General features: G+C 41.0%; 2 protein-coding genes across 51 annotated transcripts in view; one reads left to right on the top strand and one right to left on the bottom strand.

Moving 5' to 3' along the window:
* METTL21A (methyltransferase 21A, HSPA lysine) overlaps positions 1-21,303 on the top strand; it is a 45,419-nt gene that overhangs the window by 8,635 nt on the left and 15,481 nt on the right. For 7 of the 36 annotated variants that reach the window (XM_006712327.4, XM_024452722.2, XM_005246337.5 and 4 more), the window contains 2 exons: positions 3,976-5,351; positions 7,654-8,305. The exons of 21 other annotated variants lie outside the window; for them this stretch is intronic. In XM_006712327.4, the coding sequence (XP_006712390.1) occupies positions 3,976-4,373 (398 nt within the window). In that variant the 3' untranslated portion in view covers positions 4,374-5,351; positions 7,654-8,305. Of the gene's footprint in view, positions 1-3,975; positions 8,306-20,304; positions 20,341-21,303 lie in introns of those variants that run through there. 8 more of the 36 variants (NM_001330134.2, NM_001330130.2, NM_145280.7 and 5 more) reach the window with 3 other exon arrangements.
* CREB1 (cAMP responsive element binding protein 1) overlaps positions 11,431-21,303 on the bottom strand; it is a 76,027-nt gene continuing 66,154 nt past the window's right edge. For 12 of the 15 annotated variants that reach the window (XM_011510646.4, NM_134442.5, XM_047443437.1 and 9 more), the window contains one exon: positions 11,431-20,505. In XM_011510646.4, the coding sequence (XP_011508948.1) occupies positions 20,462-20,505 (44 nt within the window). In that variant the 3' untranslated portion in view covers positions 11,431-20,461. The remainder of the gene's footprint in view (positions 20,506-21,303) is intronic. The other 3 variants (NR_135473.2, NR_163946.1, NR_163947.1) reach the window with 1 other exon arrangement.

The raw sequence follows: 21,303 nt of genomic DNA, 5'->3' as shown, positions 1-21,303 counted from the left end.
AAGCTCAGATTTCCCTTCCTTTGGGATTTTTTCTTTGACCTCTGCTCCTCTTGAAGAATTTCTCCTTTGTGACCTCATGATTTCCTGCGCACACTCATGTTTCTATTATTTTTCTTCCCACACTGCATCACAACTGTGTTTATGTGTCTCTCCCACATGAGACTTTTGAGCTGTGGGTAAGGACTTTCTTCCTCATCTTTGTATCTCTAGCACATAGTATGTGCTCGAATGTTTGCATAAATAAGGTGTTATAAAACTAAAACGAAAACTGATGACACATGTTTATACATTCTTTTCCCATTACTAATGGACAGCATACTGTGTTGTCCTATTGGGTCAGTCTCCACTAGTCTTTTCTGAACTAAATACTGTCTCACCCTCCTTACCCAGCATAAATCTCACAGGCAGTCATTTTATCACCATCTTCATGTACGGTTGACACCGACTCCCTGCCTTTCCTTGCTTCAAAACAAGCCAGGTTAACTGCAGCCTTCCACTGTCCCTGGTCTGTGCCTCTGTGGCTGAGTGGGGCTGAAGGAAATGCTGCTGCTGGATTTCACTCTATTTTTTCTTTTGAGATGGGAGTTTCGCTCTTGTCGCCCAGGCTGGAGTGCAGTAGGGCGATCTTCACTGCAACCTCTGCCTCCCGGGTTCAAGCGATTCTCCTGCCTCAGCCTCTTGAGTAGCTGGGATTACAGGCGCCTGCCACCACGCCTGGCTAATTTTTTGTAATTTTAGTAGAGACAGGGTTTCATCATGTTGGCCAGGCTGGTCTCGAACTCCTGACCTCAGGTGATCCACCCGCCTTGGCCTCCCAAAGTGCTGAGATTACAGGCGTGAGTCACCGCACCCAGCCGGATATTCTGTTTTTTTAAAAAACGTCTTACTGCCTATCTCTCACTTGAATGTAAGTTGTATGAGGGGAGAGGTTTCTGTTCCATGGCTGATGGTAGTCATTCAGATATGTGTGGAATTACAGGGGGTGGTCAACTGACATTAAGATCCTATTCAGACTTCTGGAATACCTACCAGGTTAGAAGTAGCCTTTGAAATGCCTGGGACAGGCATTAGAGAAGGCCTTTATCTATGAGCTGGTAAAATGAATACTGAGGTGATGTGCAGATGACTCAGTCACTCCAATATTGCCTGCAGAGTGCTCTGTGTACTGTTAAGAAATTCAGAGATACAGTTCTAACTCAAACCTTGGAAAAGGCTGTCTGCATTTTTTTTTTTTTAAAAGAGATAGGGTCTCGCTCTGTTGCCCAGGCTGGAGTGCAGTGGCATGACCATGGCTCATTGCTCACATGACAAAATACCAAAAATAGGGAAAGCCTGTATCGTGAGGTTAAAATTTTAAAAAAGAATAATAGGGCTGAGTACAGTAGCTCACGCCTGTAATCCCAGCACTTTGGGAGGCCAAGACGGGTGGATTGCTTGAGCCCAGGGGTTGGAGGCCAGCCTGGACAACATGGCAAAACCCTCTCTGTATGTTTGGGAAAAAAAAAACAATCATAGAAGAGAGACATTGGCTATTAAGAAATCCCAGTCCACCTCTCCTTAGGCTGTTATGAAGCAGCCAATCTATATGTGTTTATGTAATACATATATAATCACTGAAAAATTACTGAATTGTATGACAGTAATGTAAGTGAAAATACTTGTTCTTTAAGTGGTAAGTTAAAGTTGTTCTTTTCTTTTCTTTTCTTTTCTTTTTTTTTTTTTTTTAGACGGAGTCTCACTCTGTTGCCAGGCTGGAGTGCAGTGGTATGATCTCGGCTCACTGCAACCTCCACCTCCTAGGTTCAAGCAATTTTCCTGCCTCAGCCTCCTGAGTAGCTGGGACTACAGGCACGCGCCACCATGCCCAGCTAATTTTTGTAGTTTTAGTAGAGACGGGGTTTCACCATGTTGGCCAGGATAGTCTCGATCTCTTGACCTTATGATCCACCTGCCTCGGCCTCCCAAAGTGCTGGGATTACAGGCGTGAGCCACCACGCCTGGCCTAAAGTTGTTCTTTTAAGTGCAGCCTTGACCTCCTGGGCTCCAGTGATCCTCCCACCTCAGCCTCCTGAATAGTGCCACCACGCCTGGCTAATTTTTTTATTTTTTTGTGGAGATGGGATCTCTCTATGTTGTCAGGGCTGGTCTTGAACTTCTGGGCTCAAGTGATGCTCCTGCCTCGACCTCCCAAAGTGCTTGGATTACAGGTTGAGCTACTCGGCCTGGCTGTCTGCAATTTTTATTTTCAGAAAAGATGAAAACTGTCATTGAAATCTATCCATTGGGCAACACACTGTCTAGCAACGAATGGTCAAAGTGGTAGGTTCAGGCTTGTAAAATCTAACAACTTGAGCATTTTCATCAGTATCTCATAGTAGGACTGTAAATGTCAAATTGAATTACTGCCCTAACTTATGTGTCAAGATAAGAAACACTGAGTATCAGCTGCCACTGAAATAGTGCTTATTGCAACTAGTCTGGAATCCTGTGGGAAGATTACCTATGAAGATTACAAACTGAAGAAGGATGCAAATGGAAAGAATTTTATGAAAGATTGAAACATAATTTTAAATTTCAGAATTTCTGGGGTCAGAAGTAAAGAGTACTACACATATTATATCTTTCCTACAACGTAGATGAGGTGGATCCGACCTGACCTTATGTGCTTGCTCCACCTTAAGGTCTTCTCTTACCCACATTGGTTCAAAAAAAAGGATCTTTTTGTCAACAACCCATAAGAAACAGTTTAGTTTTTCTACACTGTGTGTAGAAACTTAGCATTAAGAACAAGCATTTTAACCTACATTAATAAAATTAAGTAATTTTTAAGCTTACAATTTTTCAAGAAATACGTAAAACATGTAAGTTGGCTGCTTCATAACAGCCTAAGGAGAAGTGGACTGGGATTTCTTAGTAGCCAATTTATTTCTTCCATGATTCTTTTTTAAACTGTAACCTTACAAAACAGCCTTTCTCTGTTTTTGGTATCTTGTCATCTTTGCAATAATAGTCTGCTCCCAGATATTTTTTTTTTTTTTGAGACTGGGTGTTGCTCTGTTGCCCAGGCACAATAACAGTTCACTGCAGCCTCGATCTCCCATACTCACATGATATCCCACCTCCGCCTCCTGAGTAGTTAAGACCACAGGTGTGCACTGTGCTTAATTAAAAAAAATTATTTGTAGAGATGGAGTCTCCCTGTGTTACCCAGGCTGGTCTTGAACTCCTGGGCTCAAGGGCTTCTCCCACCTCAGCCTCCCTAAGTGCTGGGATTACAGGCATGAGCCACTGTACCTGGCCTGCTCCCAGATATTTCATTCTTGGATTCCATTTTAGCCTGCGGCCAACTGACTTAAAGATAATGACCCAATGAATAAAGTATGGGCCAGCTCTGTTGGCAGAATTCAGAAGCATCAGCCGTGTCACTGGTTAATTCTACTTTTTTTTGAGATGGAGTTTTGCTCTTGTCACCCAGGCTGGAGTGCAGTGGCGAGATCTCAGCTCACTGCAACCTCTGCCTCCCAGGTTTAAGTGATTCCCCTGCCTCAGCCTCCCGAGTAGCTGGGATTACAGGTGCCCGCCACCATGCCTGGCTAATTTTGTATTTTTAGTTGGCCATGTTGGCCAGGCTGGTCTCCAACTCCTGACCTCAGGTGATCCACCCGCTTTGGCCTCCCAAAGTGCTGGGATTAAAGGCATGAGCCACCACACCCAGCCAATTCTGCAATTTATAGGCACAATTTTAGCAAATAGCAGGTATGTCATAGAGGCAAATCAAGAGTCACTTCTACCAGTAGTTAATGCAAAAGGAGCTGTGAGTCATTTTTCTATTGCAGCTGTCCATGAAAGGTGTGATTGATATTATGCATATCAGATGCAATATTTAAGAGACACTCTACATTTAACTTGACCCCCTCTCTACCTAACAGAATTGTACTGATGTACACATCACTTTTTCTTTGTTCCACATTGTAGGTGCTCATGTGACTATCACGGATCGAAAAGTAGCATTAGAATTTCTTAAATCAAACGTTCAAGCCAACTTACCTCCTCATATCCAAACTAAAACTGTTGTTAAGGAGCTGACTTGGGGACAAAATTTGGGGAGTTTTTCTCCTGGAGAATTTGACCTGATACTTGGTGCTGATATCATATATTTAGAAGAAACATTCACAGATCTTCTTCAGACACTGGAACATCTCTGTAGCAATCACTCTGTGATTCTTTTAGCATGCCGAATTCGCTATGAACGGGATAACAACTTCTTAGCAATGCTGGAGAGGCAATTTACTGTGAGAAAGGTTCACTACGATCCTGAAAAAGATGTACATATTTACGAAGCACAGAAGAGAAACCAGAAGGAGGACTTATAATTGGCTATAATTTATAAGAATGTTGTCATTGAGTGTGTCACTTAAGGTCTTAGACTGCAAATCTAACCATATTTAATGAAATGTCTTACTGTACAAAAAGTCTAAGCCAAAGGTTCTCAGGGGAGAAAGCACATGTGCAGTTTTAAAACAAAGCAGTGCTTTGTCCCATTGCTGTGATTTTTAGTCAGACTTTACTCAGTCTGAAATGCAATTAACATTAAAGGATTAAGTGTGAGATTTCGATTTATGCTATTTGTGTATCCCATACTCCTCCCTTTTAATAAACAGTTTCCACTGATGATATGAAGGGCCGGTATAAAGAAGTCTTTAAATGAGTAAGCTTTCTTGGTAAGATTAAATCTTACAAATTATTTTTAAAACCTTGTGATATATACAATGTTTAGCTGAGTTTTCTAATTTTCTGGATGTAAAACAAAAGGTTTAACCTATACATTCCTTGAGCTGTTAGTGCTATTTAAATCTTTTGCCCTGTTTAGGTCCTAAACACTTTTAGTTGAGTAGGATATGAGCTTTTTTGGGTCTCATATCATGCTTTTTGCCTTAATTTCAGGTATATATATATATATAAATAAAGGAATTAAGTAAAAATAAAATTTCAGTTACTTTTTAAAAGCACCTGAAATCTGGCCGGATGCGGTGGCTCATGCCTGTAATCCCACCACTTTGGGAGGCCGAGGCGGGCAGATCACCTGAGGTCAGGAGTTCAAGACCAGCCTGGCCAACATGGTGAAACCCCATCTCTACTAAAAATACAAAAATTAGCCGGGCGTGGTGTCAGGCGCCTGTAATCCCAGCTACTCAGGAGGCTGAGGCAGGAGAATCGCTTGAACCTGGGAGGCAGAGGTTGCAGTGAGCTGAGATTGCACCATTGTACTCCAGCCTGGGGGACAAGAGCGAGACTCCATCTCAAAAAAAAAAAAAAAAAAAAAAAAAAAAAGCACCTGAAATCTTGAATAGGTTTTCTTTTTTTTTTTTTTTTTTTAATTAATTTATTTTTTTTTTATTGATCATTCTTGGGTGTTTCTCGCAGAGGGGGATTTGGCAGGGTCATAGGACAATAGTGGAGGGAAGGTCAGCAGATAAACAAGTGAACAAAGGTCTCTGGTTTTCCTAGGCAGAGGACCCTGCGGCCTTGGCCTTCCGCAGTGTTTGTGTCCCTGGGTACTTAAGATTAGGGAGTGGTGATGACTCTTAACGAGCATGCTGCCTTCAAGCATCTGTTTAACAAAGCACATCTTGCACCGCCCTTAATCCATTTAACCCTGAGTGGACACAGCACATGTTTCAGAGAGCACAGGGTTGGGGATAAGGTCACAGATCAACAGGATCCCAAGGCAGAAGAATTTTTCTTAGTACAGAACAAAATGAAAAGTCTCCCATGTCTACTTCTATCCACACAGACCCGGCAACCATCCGATTTCTCAATTTTTTCCCCACCCTTCCCGCCTTTCTATTCCACAAAACCGCCATTGTCATCGTGGCCCATCCCCAATGAGCCGCTGGGCACACCTCCCAGACGGGGTCGTGGCCGGGCAGAGGGGCTCCTCACTTCCCAGTAGGGGCGGCCGGGCAGAAGCGCCCCTCACCTCCCGGATGGGGCGGCTGGCCGGGCGGGGGGCTGACCCCCCCACCACCCTCCCGGACGGGGCGGCTGGCCAGGCAGAGGGGCTCCTCACTTCCCAGTAGGGACGGCCGGGCAGACGCGCCCCTCACCTCCTGGATAGGGCGGCTGGCTGGGCGGGGGGCTGTCCCCCCCACCTCCCTCCCGGACGGGGCGGCTGGCCGGGCAGAGGGGTCCTCACTTCCCAGTAGGGGCGGCCGGGCAGAGGCGCCCCTCACCTCCCGGACGGGGCGGCCGGCCGGAAGGGGGGCTGACCCCCCCCACCTCCCTCCCGGACCGGGCGGCTGGCCGACCCCCCCCCCCCCCCCCGCCTCCCTCCCGGACGGGGCGGCTGGCCGGGCAGAGGGGCTCCTCACTTTCCAGTAGGGGCGGCCGGGCAGAGGCGCCCCTCACCTCCCGGACGGGGCGACTGGCCAGGCGGGGGGCTGACCCCCCCACCTCCCTCCCGGATGGGGCAGCTGGCCAGGTGGGAGGATGACCCCCCCACCTCCCTCCCGGGCGGGGCGGCTGGCCGGGCAGAGGGGCTCCTCACTTCCCAGTAGGGGCGGCCGGGCAGAGGCGCCCCTCACCTCCCGGATGGGGCGGCTGGCCAGGCGGGGGGCTGATCCCCCCACCTCCCTCCCGGACGGGGCGGCTGGCCAGGCAGAGGGGCTCCTCACTTCCCAGTAGGGGCGGCCGGGCAGAGGAGCCCCTCACCTCCCGGACGGGGCGGCTGGCCGGGCGGGGGGCTGACCCCCCCCACCTCCCTCCCGGACGGGGTGGCTGCTGGGCGGAGACGCTCCTCACTTCCCAGACGGGGTGGTTGCCGGACGGAGGGGCTCCTCACTTCTCAGACGGGGCGGTTGCCAGGCAGAGGGTTTCCTCACTTCTCAGACGGAGCGGCCGGGCAGAGACGCTCCCCACCTCCCAGACAGGGCTGCGGCCCAGCAGAGGCGCTCCTCACATCCCAGACAGGGCGGCGGGGCAGAGGTGCTCCCCACATCTCAGACGATGGGCGGCCGGGCAGAGACGCTCCTCACTTCCTAGATGGGATGGCGGCGGGGAAGAGGCGCTCCTCGCTTCCCAGATGGGATGGCGGCCGGGCAGAGACGCTCCTCACTTTCCAGACTGGGCAGCCAGGCAGAGGGGCTCCTCACATCCCAGACGATGGGTGGCCAAGCAGAGACGCTCCTCACTTCCCAGACGGGGTGGCGGCCAGGCAGAGGCTGCAATCTCGGCTCTCCGGGAGGCCAAGGCAGGCGGCTGGGAGGTGGTTGCAGCGAGCCGAGATCACGCCACTGCACTCCAGCCTGGGCACCATTGAGCACTGAGTGAACGAGACTCCATCTGCAATCCCGGCACCTCGGGAGGCCGAGGCTGGCGGATCACTCGCGGCTAGGAGCTGGAGACCAGCCCGGCCAACACAGCGAAACCCCGTCTCCACCAAAAAAAACCGAAAACCAGTCAGGCGTGGCGGTGCGCGCCTGCAATCGCAGGCACTCGGCAGGCTGAGGCAGGAGAATCAGGCAGGGAGGTTGCAGTGAGCCGAGATGGCAGCAGTACCGTCCAGCCTTGGCTCGGCATCAGAGGGAGACCGTGGAGGGAGAGGGAGAGGGAGAGGGAGAGGGAGGGGGAGGGAGAGGGAGAGGGAGGGAATAGGTTTTCTATTTCAAGTCAAGAGCTGAGGTTTTCCCCTTCTGTTTTACCCTTGCTCAAATGTCTTAATGCAGTTCTTTCCCAAGCTTTCCCTGCTTCCTTAACAACGCATAGGATGACATTAAAAGTTTTAAATCTCATCCCTGCCTGAGAGGTTAGCTTCCTACATATAAGCTCCTTTTGTATTGGACTTGTAATTGCTCATTCAGTGGTAGTATTGCCCTGTAGAGTGTAAGCTCCTTGAGGGCCAAGAATGCTTCTGCCTCTTCCATTGTTGCTTCCCCAGTACCTTCTGTATATTTCATAACCAAATAATGAAAAAGATACATTCCATTTAAAGGGCATTGACTTTGGGTTAAATGATTGTTATATTGTTTTAGGATTATCTATGATACACTTTGACATCTCACACACACACATGAACTTTTCTTTTTACAATGCAAAAGTTTAAACAATAGCTTAAATTTAGACTGCAAGAATATTATAATCTCAATATGGTATTTGGTACTAGAGATAGATTTCTTTTATAAAATCTTAAAAACAGGACGTTCTCTTCCTTTTGAACCTTTATCCCAGAGGTGAAAATATCCAATATGTTGTTTTCTGCATATATTGAAGTAGTAGTTTCACTTTAATAAAGATGGATTAAAAGTTGTGAGCATTCTGTGATATACCAGTTCAACACAATTCTAATACACATGAAATGGAAATGTCCATAGCTTACTGAATCCATAAAATGTCAGTACTGCACCATGAATATGAAAGATTGTTTAAAACAAAATAAAGCCTGGCAGTATCACCAACACCATAATGACAAGCCAGTCCCACTTAGGTATGTTATTGGGAATGCATATTCGCTCTGTCACCCAGGCTGGAGTGCGGGGCACGATCTCAGCTCACTGCAAGCTCCGCCTCCCGTATTCACGCCATTCTCCTGGCTCAGCCTCCCGAGTAGCTGGGACTACAGGTGCCTGCCACCACGGTCCGGCTAATTTTTTGTATTTTTAATAGAGATGGGGTTTCACCGTGTTAGCCAGGGTGGTCTCGATCTCTTCATGATCCACCTGTCTCAGCCTCCCAATGTGCTGGGATTACAGGCGTGAGCCACCGCGCCCGGCAGAGTTCAGTTTCTTTAAGATTCATTAACTTTGGAGATGGAAGTTAACGTGGATGGGGCAGGGTGGGTTAGAGGTGGGGAGCTTCAATAATATCCCTGGGTGATCTACCAAATGAGGTAAGCTGTTATTGGGTTGTTTTCTGTTTTCATAAAACATTAAGAATCAGAAAAATTTGAAGGCAGCTTTTTTCCCTTGCCCTACAAATTAGAAGCACAGGCAAGAAAAAAAAAAATCATCAGAAATAGTTGGGTTGTCCAAGTGAAAATCAAGTGATTTTCTTGGCTTTGGACTTAGAATGTTGTTGCAGGTCAGGTTCCTTGGGGAAATAGACTCAAAGATTGAGATTAGGGTGTGAAAAGTTCATATGGGAATGCTTTTTCCAAGATCAATATTCTGATCTTGGAAAGAAGACAGACTGGGAAAGAGGAAGAAATTGGGCTGGGATGTAGTCGGGGAAGTCCTCAGCTAATTCTTTAGAGCTGAGATGGTCCTGCAGTTAGGCCATATTGAGGCAGGGTGATGGTCCTTTATGACCCTGCATGGACTAGTGGATACAAGGTTTATAACCTGAGGCTGAAGACAATATTGGAGAGGGAGTCAGTTGGGAGCCATCAGCCACCAACATTCCTGGAAGCTGGGGAAATGAGTGTTTCAGGTGTGGGGTGTGTGTGAGAGGAGAGCGAGCGCGCGTATCTGGGCAGCACACCACAGTGTCCACTACCAATGTCAGTGAAGTTGGGACTTATTTTTTACTTACATATTTTATCACATAAATGTACATTTTAAGTGTGCTTGTTTTGTTTTCAAAGATAGAAACCTAATCCAAACCTATTTTACTAAGTCTTGATTCTCACTCACATTGCCCAATTTCTTTAAAGTTATGCAGTTAAATAATCCAGTGGTATCACTAATTTTTCCCCCAATTAATACCAAATACTGCTGCCAAGATGCTATGTTAAAATGTATGTATGATACCAGGTTCTTGGAACCCCACTGTAAAGAATGCTGTTTTTGAAGTAGATTATCACTTAAAGGGTAGCTTGCTTTAGTTCATGGTAGATGGCCTGGATACCATCTTCAAATAGTAGTTGATCAAAATGCTTTTATCTGTTAACTGAACACTAGATTGCAAACTCAGGGCAGAATAACATTATTTGGAATGTTTTATCTTAGCAAATACAATTTATGCTCCTAGAAGGCAAGGATGATAGCATATATCCATATATCGTTTTCTTTCTTTCTTTCTTTCTTTCTTTTTTTTGAGATGGAATTTTGCTTGTTACCCAGGGTGGAGTGGAGTGCAGTGGTGTGATCTTGGCACACTGCAGCCTCTGCCTGGGTTCAGGCGATTCTTCTGTCTCAGCCTCCTGAGTAGCTGGGATTACAGGCATCTGCCACCATGCCCAGCTAATTTTTTGTATTTTTAGTAGAGATGGGGTTTTAATTATATTGGCCAGGCTGGTCTTGAACTCTTGACCTCGTGATCGACCTGCCTCGCCCTCCCAAAGTGCAGGGATTACAGGTGTGAGCCACCAGGCCCGACCTTATATTCTGTATTTCAAGTGGTAACATGGTACCCTGTTCAAAAAGGGAGTTCACACTGACTCATGAAAAATACACATTCCTTTACAGATGAGTTACCATATGCCTAATTTATGTGCTTTATTTCTCCTTGCCGAAGGTATGGGAGAAATAAATTCTCAGGGATATTAAAGTATCAAGGCATATGCTGAATAACAAAATTACCATAATGCAAAAGATTCACCTCCAATAATAATACCATTTAATTGCTATTTATGGGAAGCATTTACTGCCAATTCTTTAAAAATGAACAAAAATAAAATTTTAAAGTACTTTAAAAAATCACTATATAATGTACCCCAGTACTGTTAAGTGGCCCTAGATATAGGACTTCACTTAATAGTTGGTAAAACAGACTTGTAATTTGTGTTAGTGTTAGACGAAGTCACAACCTCACTGCTCCCCAGAACCTCTACCTAGAGAGAAGTAGCTTTCTCAAGGTCTTTAACATGAATTGGTAAGTACAGTGAGTATAGAGAACCCTCCTCTGGGAAGCTGGAAACTTGTACTATCTTAGCACTGACATAAACAGCATGACACCGGACAGTCCTTAGCTCTGTTTTACCTTAAAACTTGAAGTTTTTTTTGAGACGGGAGCCTTGCTCTGTCGCCCAGGCTGGAGTGCAATGGCGCAATCTCGGCTCACTGCAACCTCCGCCTCCTGGGTTCAAGTGATTCTCCTGCCTCAGCCTCCCGAGTAGCTGGGATTACAGGCGCCTGCCACCATGCCTGGCTAATTTTTGTATTTTTTAGTAGAGATGAGGTTTCACCATGTTGGTCAGGCTGGTCTCGAACTCCTGACCTCAGGTGATCTGCCCTCCTCTGCCTCGGCCTCCCAAAGTGATGGGATTACAGGCGTGAGCCACCCGCACCCCGGCCCAACTTGAAGATTTAATTGTTAGCTTTCTGCTCTAAAATCATGTTACACCTTTCCTTCTACAACCAGAGGGGTTAAAAATTTAGTAACACTAGAAAAGATGGCATATTGAAAACTTGTTTCTTTGCTAAGAACAGTTATTTCTGAGGATATTAGAAAGAAAACAGTATTAACAGAGATGAGAAAAGGAAAGCCTTATGAAAGTCTGTGCCACTTCTAATTTTAATTCCAGAAAAAAATGCCTAGACTGTAAAGTTTGACATAAAAATAGTAATCAACATAAGTTAATAAAAATTGCTTAGCAGATACCTAATAATCATTAGGAAACAATATCCAAATATGAAGAAAACCATAATTCAGAAATAACTTTTACTTCTCAGTATCCTGGAGATACAACTTGTGTAGACCTAGTTACCAACCTCTGTATATCTGTAACAGTAAAAAATTTCAAACAGCCAAATGTCCCCAGAAGAGGACTGGTTAAACTGTATCTGTACAATGGCAGCAGTTTATAAACCACTGTTTGTACCTACCTTTTGTGTAAAAAAAGGGAGAGGGAGGAGGAGAGAACATACATTATATTTGTGTATATATGCACAGACTGTCACAAAAAACATAACACAAAAAACTTCTTACAGTTTGCCCTTTTCCATGTTTCTTTTTTTTAGAAGTGTACATATTACATAAAGTAAGTTTGAAAACAATGAGGACATTATAAAGCAAAAACTTATAGGCGAAAATATTATAAGGGCCTAGTACCCAGAATATATAAGGAACTCAGAACCCAACAACAAAATTTCAATGAACAAAGGACCTCAACAGACATTTCTTCAAAGAAGATACGCAGATGGCCAAAGACAACAAAAGATGCTCCACATCATTAGTAATCAGGGAAATGCAAATCAAAACCACAATGAGAGACCACACCCATGAGGATGGCTATAATTTTTAAAATGGCAAAATAAGTGTTGGTGAAGGTGTGGAGAAATTGGAACCCTCATACATCAATGGTGGAAGGTAAAACGGTACAGCTGCTGAGGGAAAGTTTGACAGTTCCTCAAAAAGTTAAATGTGCGATTTCAACATGACCCAGCAACTCCACTCCCAGGCATATACCCCAAATAATTGAAAACACGGACTCAAATACTTGTACACGAACATTCATAACAGCACTATGAACATTAGCCAAACAGTAGAAACAACTCAACTGGATGAATCGATAAACTTGTGGTATATATCTACAATGGCATACTTACTATAAAAAGTATACTTAGCTATAAAAAGGAATGAAGTAGTGATAACATGTTACAATGGATCAACCTCAACAACACATTAAAGCTAGACGAAAGAAGTAATACACAGTGTATGAGTCTCACATGAAATACCCGGATGTAAATCCAAAGAAACAGGAAGCAGATTGGTGGTTGCCAGGGACAAGGGCGGTGGGAGGAGAAAATGGAGAGTAACGGGACTTTACTTTTGGAGTGATGAGAATGTTTTGGAGCTAGATAGAAGTGGTGGTTGTACACCATTGTGGATGTACTACCACTTAATTGTTCACTTAAAAAGTTAATTTATGTGAATTGCATCTTAATTAAAAACAAGGATAACATTCCAACTCCTGGACATTATCCTTCCTTTCCATTTGATGTCAGGCCCGTGTTAGAATTCTCATCCGGTTTGGTCACTGCACTTAAGAAAGATGTGGAGAAATTAGGACGCACAGTTAAGAAGAAGGATAACACTGATTAAGGTAGTGCTTTTCTAGGTTTCCCCTAAACAATTTAACAGATGGATAGTGGCACCACTTACGAGATGGAAAAACCAGCGGAAGGAAGATTTGGGGGAGAAGTTAAGTTTGTCTTGGGCCTGTGTTTTGCAACCTGAGTGTAAAAGACATATGTTAAGTCTTCAGTGGCGAAACACTAAAACTAGAAATGGATCAGAATTTTATCTTTGGATGTGACTTCTCAAGGATGGTCTTGTCACTTCAGTGCCTGGTCAAATGACAAGATGGGCAATCTTTTCCTGAAGGTCCAAGCACCTGAACGTGGCAGGGTGACCCGATTCCGATTTGCTTAGAACAATCCTAGTTCATGCCTATTGTCCCTCATGTAATTAATATCACTCTCAAAATGTCTCATTTTGTGCAATAAATTCTGTAATCGTTGTTGCAGAAAATAAATGAAATTCATTAAGCCTTCCAATACAATGGCAGGTATAGCAGGCTTGAACACATCTTGGCAGTGAAGAAACATACAAATAATGCAGCTGCTTATTTTCAGATGTCTCGTCTCAGAACTTATTTCAGAAGTTAATAGTATAGGAGATAACTTTTTTATTCTTACAGCTTAAGCAAAGATTAACCATATCCCCTCCCCTTTCCTTCCAATTTATATGATCACAGAGTTTTAGAATTGCAAGGGGACCTGAGAAGGTATATAGTCTTATTGTCCTTTCAGTGAACACGTGTTTTATGACATCAGACACAGCTGGTCGTATGTCTCCATTAGTCATCTTGACAGTAACATCTCCAAATCCACAAATAGGCACTGTTCAATCTTATTGAAAAACAGGTTTTGTCCTGAAAATTAGGGATCCAGTAACTGAAGACATGTTGTTGTCTGAATTAGTTTTGCTGCCTTCCAACACAAGCTTGTAATATATTGTAACTTTAAGTCCAATAAAACATGGCTTCACACTACTAGCAAAAAAAACCCAACAAAATATAGAGATCCCATCCCCAAAAAAGAGACTTACAGAGTTTTTAAAAGCATGTTTATGTGACTGCACATAAATGTTTGTGTAAAAAGAGCATTATGACAGTTGATACCACAAAGATTACAGTAAGAAAAAGCACTTTATGACAATATTTCACAAATTCACAAGGATCACTTTAATATACAAAGCAACTGCTACTATTCTGAACACAAAGCAGCTATTATGTACATAGTGTTAATAAAATGCATTGTAACTCAGTACATTTTTTTCTTTACACATAAAGCACAAAAAGATTTAGATAAAAAAATTAAAACAGGGATGTTTCTAGAATGTAGGGAATTTTATTAGAAATGTATTTCCCTCATTATAGTTATTTATTTAGTATTCAACTCCAATAGAAACATCAGAGTTAAAAATCAATACCCTGTTTTGTGCTGACAGTTGTGGGGGAAGTCTTCTTTACCCCAACCCTCAAAAACCAAAAAGCCAAACACCTTTCTAGGAACTTCCCTGATTATTTTGCTTCTAAAAAGTTTCAAGTGATACATCTGGGTTAGAAATAATTCCTTTTGCAGGGAGTGGGGGAGTTACAACTGACATGTGGACAAATCAGTCAAGGACAACTTTACATGGAAAACTGCTAACTAGCACTCTTCTTTGCCACCCCTAATAAATCTATACTCAAAAAAAATGTTGACAATTATTTCCCACTTTTAATATAAATAATTTTATTACATACACAAATTGGAGTGGCACTTGGATAAAAATACATCTATAAAGCATTTACCAATTTTAAAAACATAAGAAAATAAAACCTCCCAAACACAATGATAGATCATTTCACTTGGCCAACAAACATAAAATCATTATTTGCAGAGATTTTCTTCCTCCCTACCAATTTTTAAGCTAACTCAGATTTACTCTCACTTCTCTGAGATGCTCCTCAGACAAAAGCTTGGAAATGCCATACTTCTATAGGCAAGTAATGTTAGGTCAAATGTGAATTTCCTACTCTTTGATCCTTTTCAAAGACAATTCCAAAAGATTGTTCATTTTCCTTTTACTTGCTGGTGAGAATAATTAAAAATGTATCATGTCATACCCAGCTGGGACCTGCACCCACCGTACCAGAATGCAGACAGGTCAGTATTTTCTTTCTGTGCTAAAACTGCCTGTTTATAATATCAACTTGCATCACCGGCTTTGTTCTATTTTATTTATATATTTTTTAAATTTTTCTTTTTTTAAAAAATAAATTTCAAGCTAAAACACCTGAAATATAATCCCTCCATTCAAACGTTATCTGGTCCCTCTTAAAGTCGGTCTGCCCCCTGAGGACACATACAAAGGCTTAAGCTACATTCACTAATCAATAAGAACTTATCATAAGCAGATGAGACAGATGGAACTTCAGCACCCTGTTTATTTGAAAATTTTCCATACTGACTCAGCTTCATGATATGTTCAGCCCCTCAAAGATTAATGCCTCTCCTAGCCATTGATTCTAGAATGTCAAGGAAACCAGTTCCTAGTACATACAGTGACTGTGTAGCCAACTTAATAGTCAACATTATTACATTAAGAATATTCAAGATGTATGTAAGCCTCCCAACAAAAAGTTCTAGTTGTGCTTTGTACAACTGAGTGAACTATTTATCTCACAACTCTTCACCTACAGCCTTACTATGCACACTTTACTTTCTCCTTCCTCATCTGAAATCAAATTTAGGCAGCATTTCTTTGATGTTAACAAAGCCATTAAAAATGAACATATTTCAGTATATTACATGTGGTCTCTGTGAGGACAATTGCTTTAAAAAGTCTTGTACTATTCTAGACAAATTAATGGATATTTTGGCATACTATGTACAGTATTAATGTTGTGATGAGGATAAAGTCTCATTAAAAATTGAAAATAAATATTATGCACTTGAGTTATTTTCCCTTCAATCTTCATCCAAGATGAAAAAGAATAAAACAAGGTTTGAGCCCGTCTTTTAATTAACTGGGCTAGTCATATCTAATTTCCTGATGTTTTTCTTTTACAGCTGTTTTTAAGGCTAGCTTTTAGGTGCTAAAATATTTTAATCAATGAAAAACTTCCATTTAAAAAGTCACATGATTTGAAGAGAGGAGAAAGACTAAAAAGTTGAGAATTACTTGATGAGGGAATTTCTTAAGTTGCTAATACCCAAACTGGGTCATTTAAAAAAGTGCAAGTTACACCAAACATTTACAAAGGACAGAATGTAAATATAATCCAAATAAATATACAACTTTTCTATTGGGTCCATGAGGGAAAAAATATACCAACAGCTTTCAGGGCTACAAAGGCAACAAAAATAAAGCCTCTTGAAAACAACTGAAAAGGTATGTAACACTATTTCTAAAACTCACTTTAATTCAAGATCTTAACTTTAAGATACATTAGCCCTACTTAATCCTGCAAAATGAAGCAGCCGTGATCTTCAAAATAAACAGAGACCAATTTATGGTAATAGCTGACTGTGGCTGATCATAGAATTAAAAATTTGTTAAATATTAAAAGAAATCTAGATTGAAGTCACTTCAAGTAAGTAAAGCATCCTGGTTTAAACAAACGTATTTCTTCCTAAGCCTTTGTATGATTCCACATGTCACCCCAAAAGGTAGAAATGATAGTAGGGATTTGTCCTACAGGGATTTATCCTGAGAGACAGAGATAAACTTCAGCCAGATGACATCTGATGGGATAGGCTGCCTGACTGGTATTGTGCTTTCAGAGACTAGCACTGCTGCTGACCTACCATCAAAACACATTTTCTGACAAAATCCCTGCTCAAATGAAATGCCAAAATTCCTCCCCCAGGATGATTTTTGAAAAAATCAGTGGTTCCTTTAAAAAGCTATCTTCAAAATGTTCTTACCACTGTTATAGCTGCCACAGACAAAGCATACAAACCAAATACTTTTGGGGGAGAGGCTTTCAAGTGACTAGTAACATATTTAAAAGTATCAAGCCAAAGAAAACTAATAAAAAATAAAATACTTGGAAGAAAATTAGAAGATAAAATCAATCATGAGTGCTGGAGTAATGCAGTCATAGAAACTACCAGAAGGAATGCAACAGAACACACAAAAATGTAAAATTTCATCTGACCTCAATATACTATAATACTCAGCATTCCTGACTTAAGAGCTCTCAGAGCTTTAGATTATATACTGTATGTATATATATATATATATATATATATGTACACATATATTATACAAATGCCACCCCCCCCAAGAATATCTAAATGAAGAGAGCACCTATGACAATATTATGGTTGCCAATATGGTACTTGAGTTTGAAAAAGAATGAACTTAAAATTGTATCTGATAGCAATTATTTAATAATGAACACATTGGATCTAGCCCTTTCTAAGCCACTTTTCAGTTAAACATTATCAAAGCTTGAAAACTCATAAGAGTAATATATCAAAAATAAACCCCTCCCCACTTCATTTTTATTAATCTGTCCTATAGATAAAAGTGCCACATGGCCCTATATTTGCAAAGTGAGCAATATCAAACTTGCTATTTTCTAGGCAAATCAGTAGCATATGTACAAATTCCTATGATGACATTTTTATTCCCTTTTGGCCAATATAAAGAGAAAAACATTTATTACTGGTAATGTGGCCACATATGTTCTTGGCTACAAGGTTTTTAAAAATTATGTCATTTTCTTAATAAAGATTCTCAAAGTTTCATGCTTACAAACAAACCTCCCCACCATTCTTGCATTAAAAAAAGAAAACTGCACAAAAGATGCTTGATTTTATCTTTATAAACTGAAATCTTCAAGTTTCACCAAGGGTCTAAGACAGATTTAGCAACAGGATACATTTCTCACCTCATCATTAAGCAACTGACTTCAAAACCAGTGCAATCATCCTCAAGGTATGAAGGATAAGGTCTTTATAACTTATAAATTCATCCAGCTCACATGAATGTGATTGCCTTGATTTATCAGGGACTAAGAGGACCACCAACTTCCCAGTAAGTAGAAAGCCTGAACTTTTGAAAAAAAGCTTTAGAGAATACAAACTGCTAAACATCAGGCAATTTTTCATTTATAACACTTACTTCATTCAAAATGTTCGATTCGACATTTTGACTCAATAAATAATTCCAACTTGTGAACATATTTGTGACTTTGCTTGATTTCTGTTAAACCAGTTTTTAAAAATGACATATCTATGCGGTTACACAATTTTTATGCTATAACTTTCCCCATTAGCTCAGCAGGACAAACATCAAACTTTATAGTTGTTTGAAAGCCTTCTTGAGAATCTGGTGAACTGTCCAAACATAAAGACTACATCACTTAATTCTTAGAATGATGCTCCTTCATAAACTCTGTTCATCCTTGAAAAAAGACAATGGTTTGTTACAAACGAAAATATACCATTTACAAATGTTAATTAAAATCTTATTTTAAAATGGATCCAGCAATTAACACTTAAATCTTCATATTTTGTTGTTAAACAAGCTTGACTTTCTTAAATAACTCTTGACTAAATATAAAACATTAGTTTTCTAAGTGTCTCAACTCTTTTTTAAAAGGAATTTCCTTCCCAAATGAGACATTTTTTTTATTTTTATTTTTTGAGATGGAGTCGCCCAGGCTGGAGTGCAATGGTGCTATCTCGGCTCACTGCAACCCTCTGCCTCCTGGGTTCAAGCAATTCTGCTGCCTCAACCTCCTGAGTAGCTGGGATTACAGGCGCCAGCCACCACGCCTGGCTAATTTTTGTATTTTTAGTAGAGATGGGGTTTCACCATGATGGCCAGGCTGGTCTTGAACTCTTGACCACAGGTGATCCACCCACCTTGGCCTCCCAAAGTGCTGGGATTACAGGCGTGAGCCACTGCGCCCGGCTCCAAATGAGAAATTATAACCTAACATTATGTCAGTTTCCAATTTTTAAAATCCACCTTAGTCTTTTTTTTTTTTTTTTAAGAGTAACTGTTAGATTTATCGAGCTTAGTGAATAAAATGAGTAACAATTAAAAGTGGTATTGAAAACAATGTATGATATACACAAATACAGACTGTTTTAATCAGGAATTAAAATTATAAAATGACAAAGGCTATACAGCATATTGGAAAGCTAAAGCAGAACTAATAACTACTCTTTTTACAAGAGAACAAAAAAATGTTTTGTAAGAATGACAATCCAAATATTGCAGTACAGCAGTCATTCAAATATGTCTGAAAATAACTTTCCTTGTGCACATCTAACACTGTACTTTTTATATCCTTACAACTTCTTTCATTTAAAAAATTCACTAGAGATTCTCTGTTAAATTGTTAATATGGAAAATATTTAAAATCAGTATTTTTCTACATGTAACATTTCATAAACAAATATATATCACTTTGCTTTATTTGACATCTTGAAGGCTTTCTTGGTGGTGGTATGTAAGTGCAATGGGCAACAGTAAATTAGAAATATCTTTTTACGTAAATGAGTGACAATATAAATATTTTTGAAGGTGAGGACAATAACATTTATTTAAAAATCTTGTTATATAACTCAAGGGATTGGTTTACTGATCAGCATTTTACTAAGAATTTAGTACTAACTAAAATATGCTTTGTACTTTTATTTACTTTGCTTTAATTTAAAATTCAAATACCATGCTTTGTCGTTCAGTTGGTTACTTCTTTTAATGTATTCAAAAATGTTGAACACATACAGAACTGAATTAAGAAGCAACAACTGCCCTATGGAAGAGCTGTATTAGTACAGAATGCTTTTAAGAACCAAGGACAAATTTTCAGTATTGAAGAAGACAACATACATAAAAAGCACTCCAAATTCATTTCTAATTCCTTCAATACCATGCTAAAGTTCTTTTTTAGAGGGTATGTCTCTTAACAACTTTACATAATTCACAATGAGAATGTGACAACATGTCAATTTGGCAATCAACACTTCTTCATTGCACCTTACTTACTTTATGCATGCGGCCCACACATTACTTCAGCTCAAGAGGCTGGGGTAATTCTGTCCCTAAGGCAATCAAGGAGCTCAGCACAAACCTTGAAATCATTTTTAAAAAGATTTTCTTTTCCTCATTTCTCCCATCAATTTACAAGTAAACAAATTATTACTTCTTGAGGAGGGTGGGGGTTGAAAAGCAGAAGTCTCTTCATGATTCCTGGCGTTGAAAATTTCTTGAGGGGAGAAGTGGAGGCAGGTGTTGGAACATTCACAGTTTAATGCAAAAGCACAAATGAATGAAATTCTGTAGTTGCTTTCAGGCAGTTTTGCGCATAGAAAAAAAGAAATGTTTAGAAAATAAAATGTTTATTTTGTCTTTCAGGTTGTGGCCAAGCCAGTCCATTTTCCACCTTAACAGGTGAAAATTTAAATCCCAAATTAATCTGATTTGTGGCAGTAAAGGTCCTTAAGTGCTTTTAGCTCCTCAATCAATGTCTTGTTTTGATTTTCAAGCACTGCCACTCTGTTTTCTAAACATTTCACATATTCTTTCTTCTTTCTACGACACTCTCGAGCTGCTTCCCTACAAGCAAAAGAGGACGGGAAAAATTATGCAAATGATTTCCACATATTTATTTTGGATTACCTTTTTTTTTTCTTTTTTAAAGAAATAGCTCACAGCAACCAACATTTTAGTATATATTAAGCATTGGAAAAGATATACAGAATTACTTGGAAATTACCTTATATTAAAATTTTAATCTGGCCAGGCGTGGCGGCTCACGCCTGTAATCCCAGCACTTTCGGGGGCCAAGGCAGGGAGATCACCTGAGGTCAGGAGTCCAAGATCAGCCTGGCCAACATGATGAAACCCCTCTCTACTATAAACACAAAAATTAGCGGGGTGTGGCGGCACATGCCTGTAGTCCCAGCTACTTGGAAGGCTGAGCCATGGGCATCGCTTGAACCTGGGAGGCAGAGGCTGCAGTAAGCTGAGATTGCGCCACTGCACTCCAGCCTGAGTGACAAGAGTGAGACTCCGTCTCAAAGAAACAAACAAAAAAACAACTCCATAAACAAACAAGACCTAAATGACCACTTAAAAATTACATCTTACTATTAATTAAAATATTCTGCATAATTCCTGCAAAACTTGAAATTCTATCCATATCAATAACTAAGAAAACATTAAAGCTAAATTTCAATGTGTAACAATCCTTTAAATAGAAAATCTTACAAACTAATCATTTCAGGGCATTTAAAAAAATCTAACAGTCTCTTCAACAAATGGTGCTGGGAAACCTGGATATCCACATGCAAAAGAGTGAGGTTGGGCCGCACCTTATGTTGTACACAAATATTAACTCAAAATAGATCAAAG

The sequence above is a fragment of the Homo sapiens genome, chromosome 2 (assembly GCF_000001405.40).
Source record: "Homo sapiens chromosome 2, GRCh38.p14 Primary Assembly".
Lineage (NCBI taxonomy): Eukaryota > Metazoa > Chordata > Mammalia > Primates > Hominidae > Homo > Homo sapiens.
Note: the sequence above shows the minus strand (reverse complement) of the source record. Positions and strands in the feature narration are given on the sequence as shown.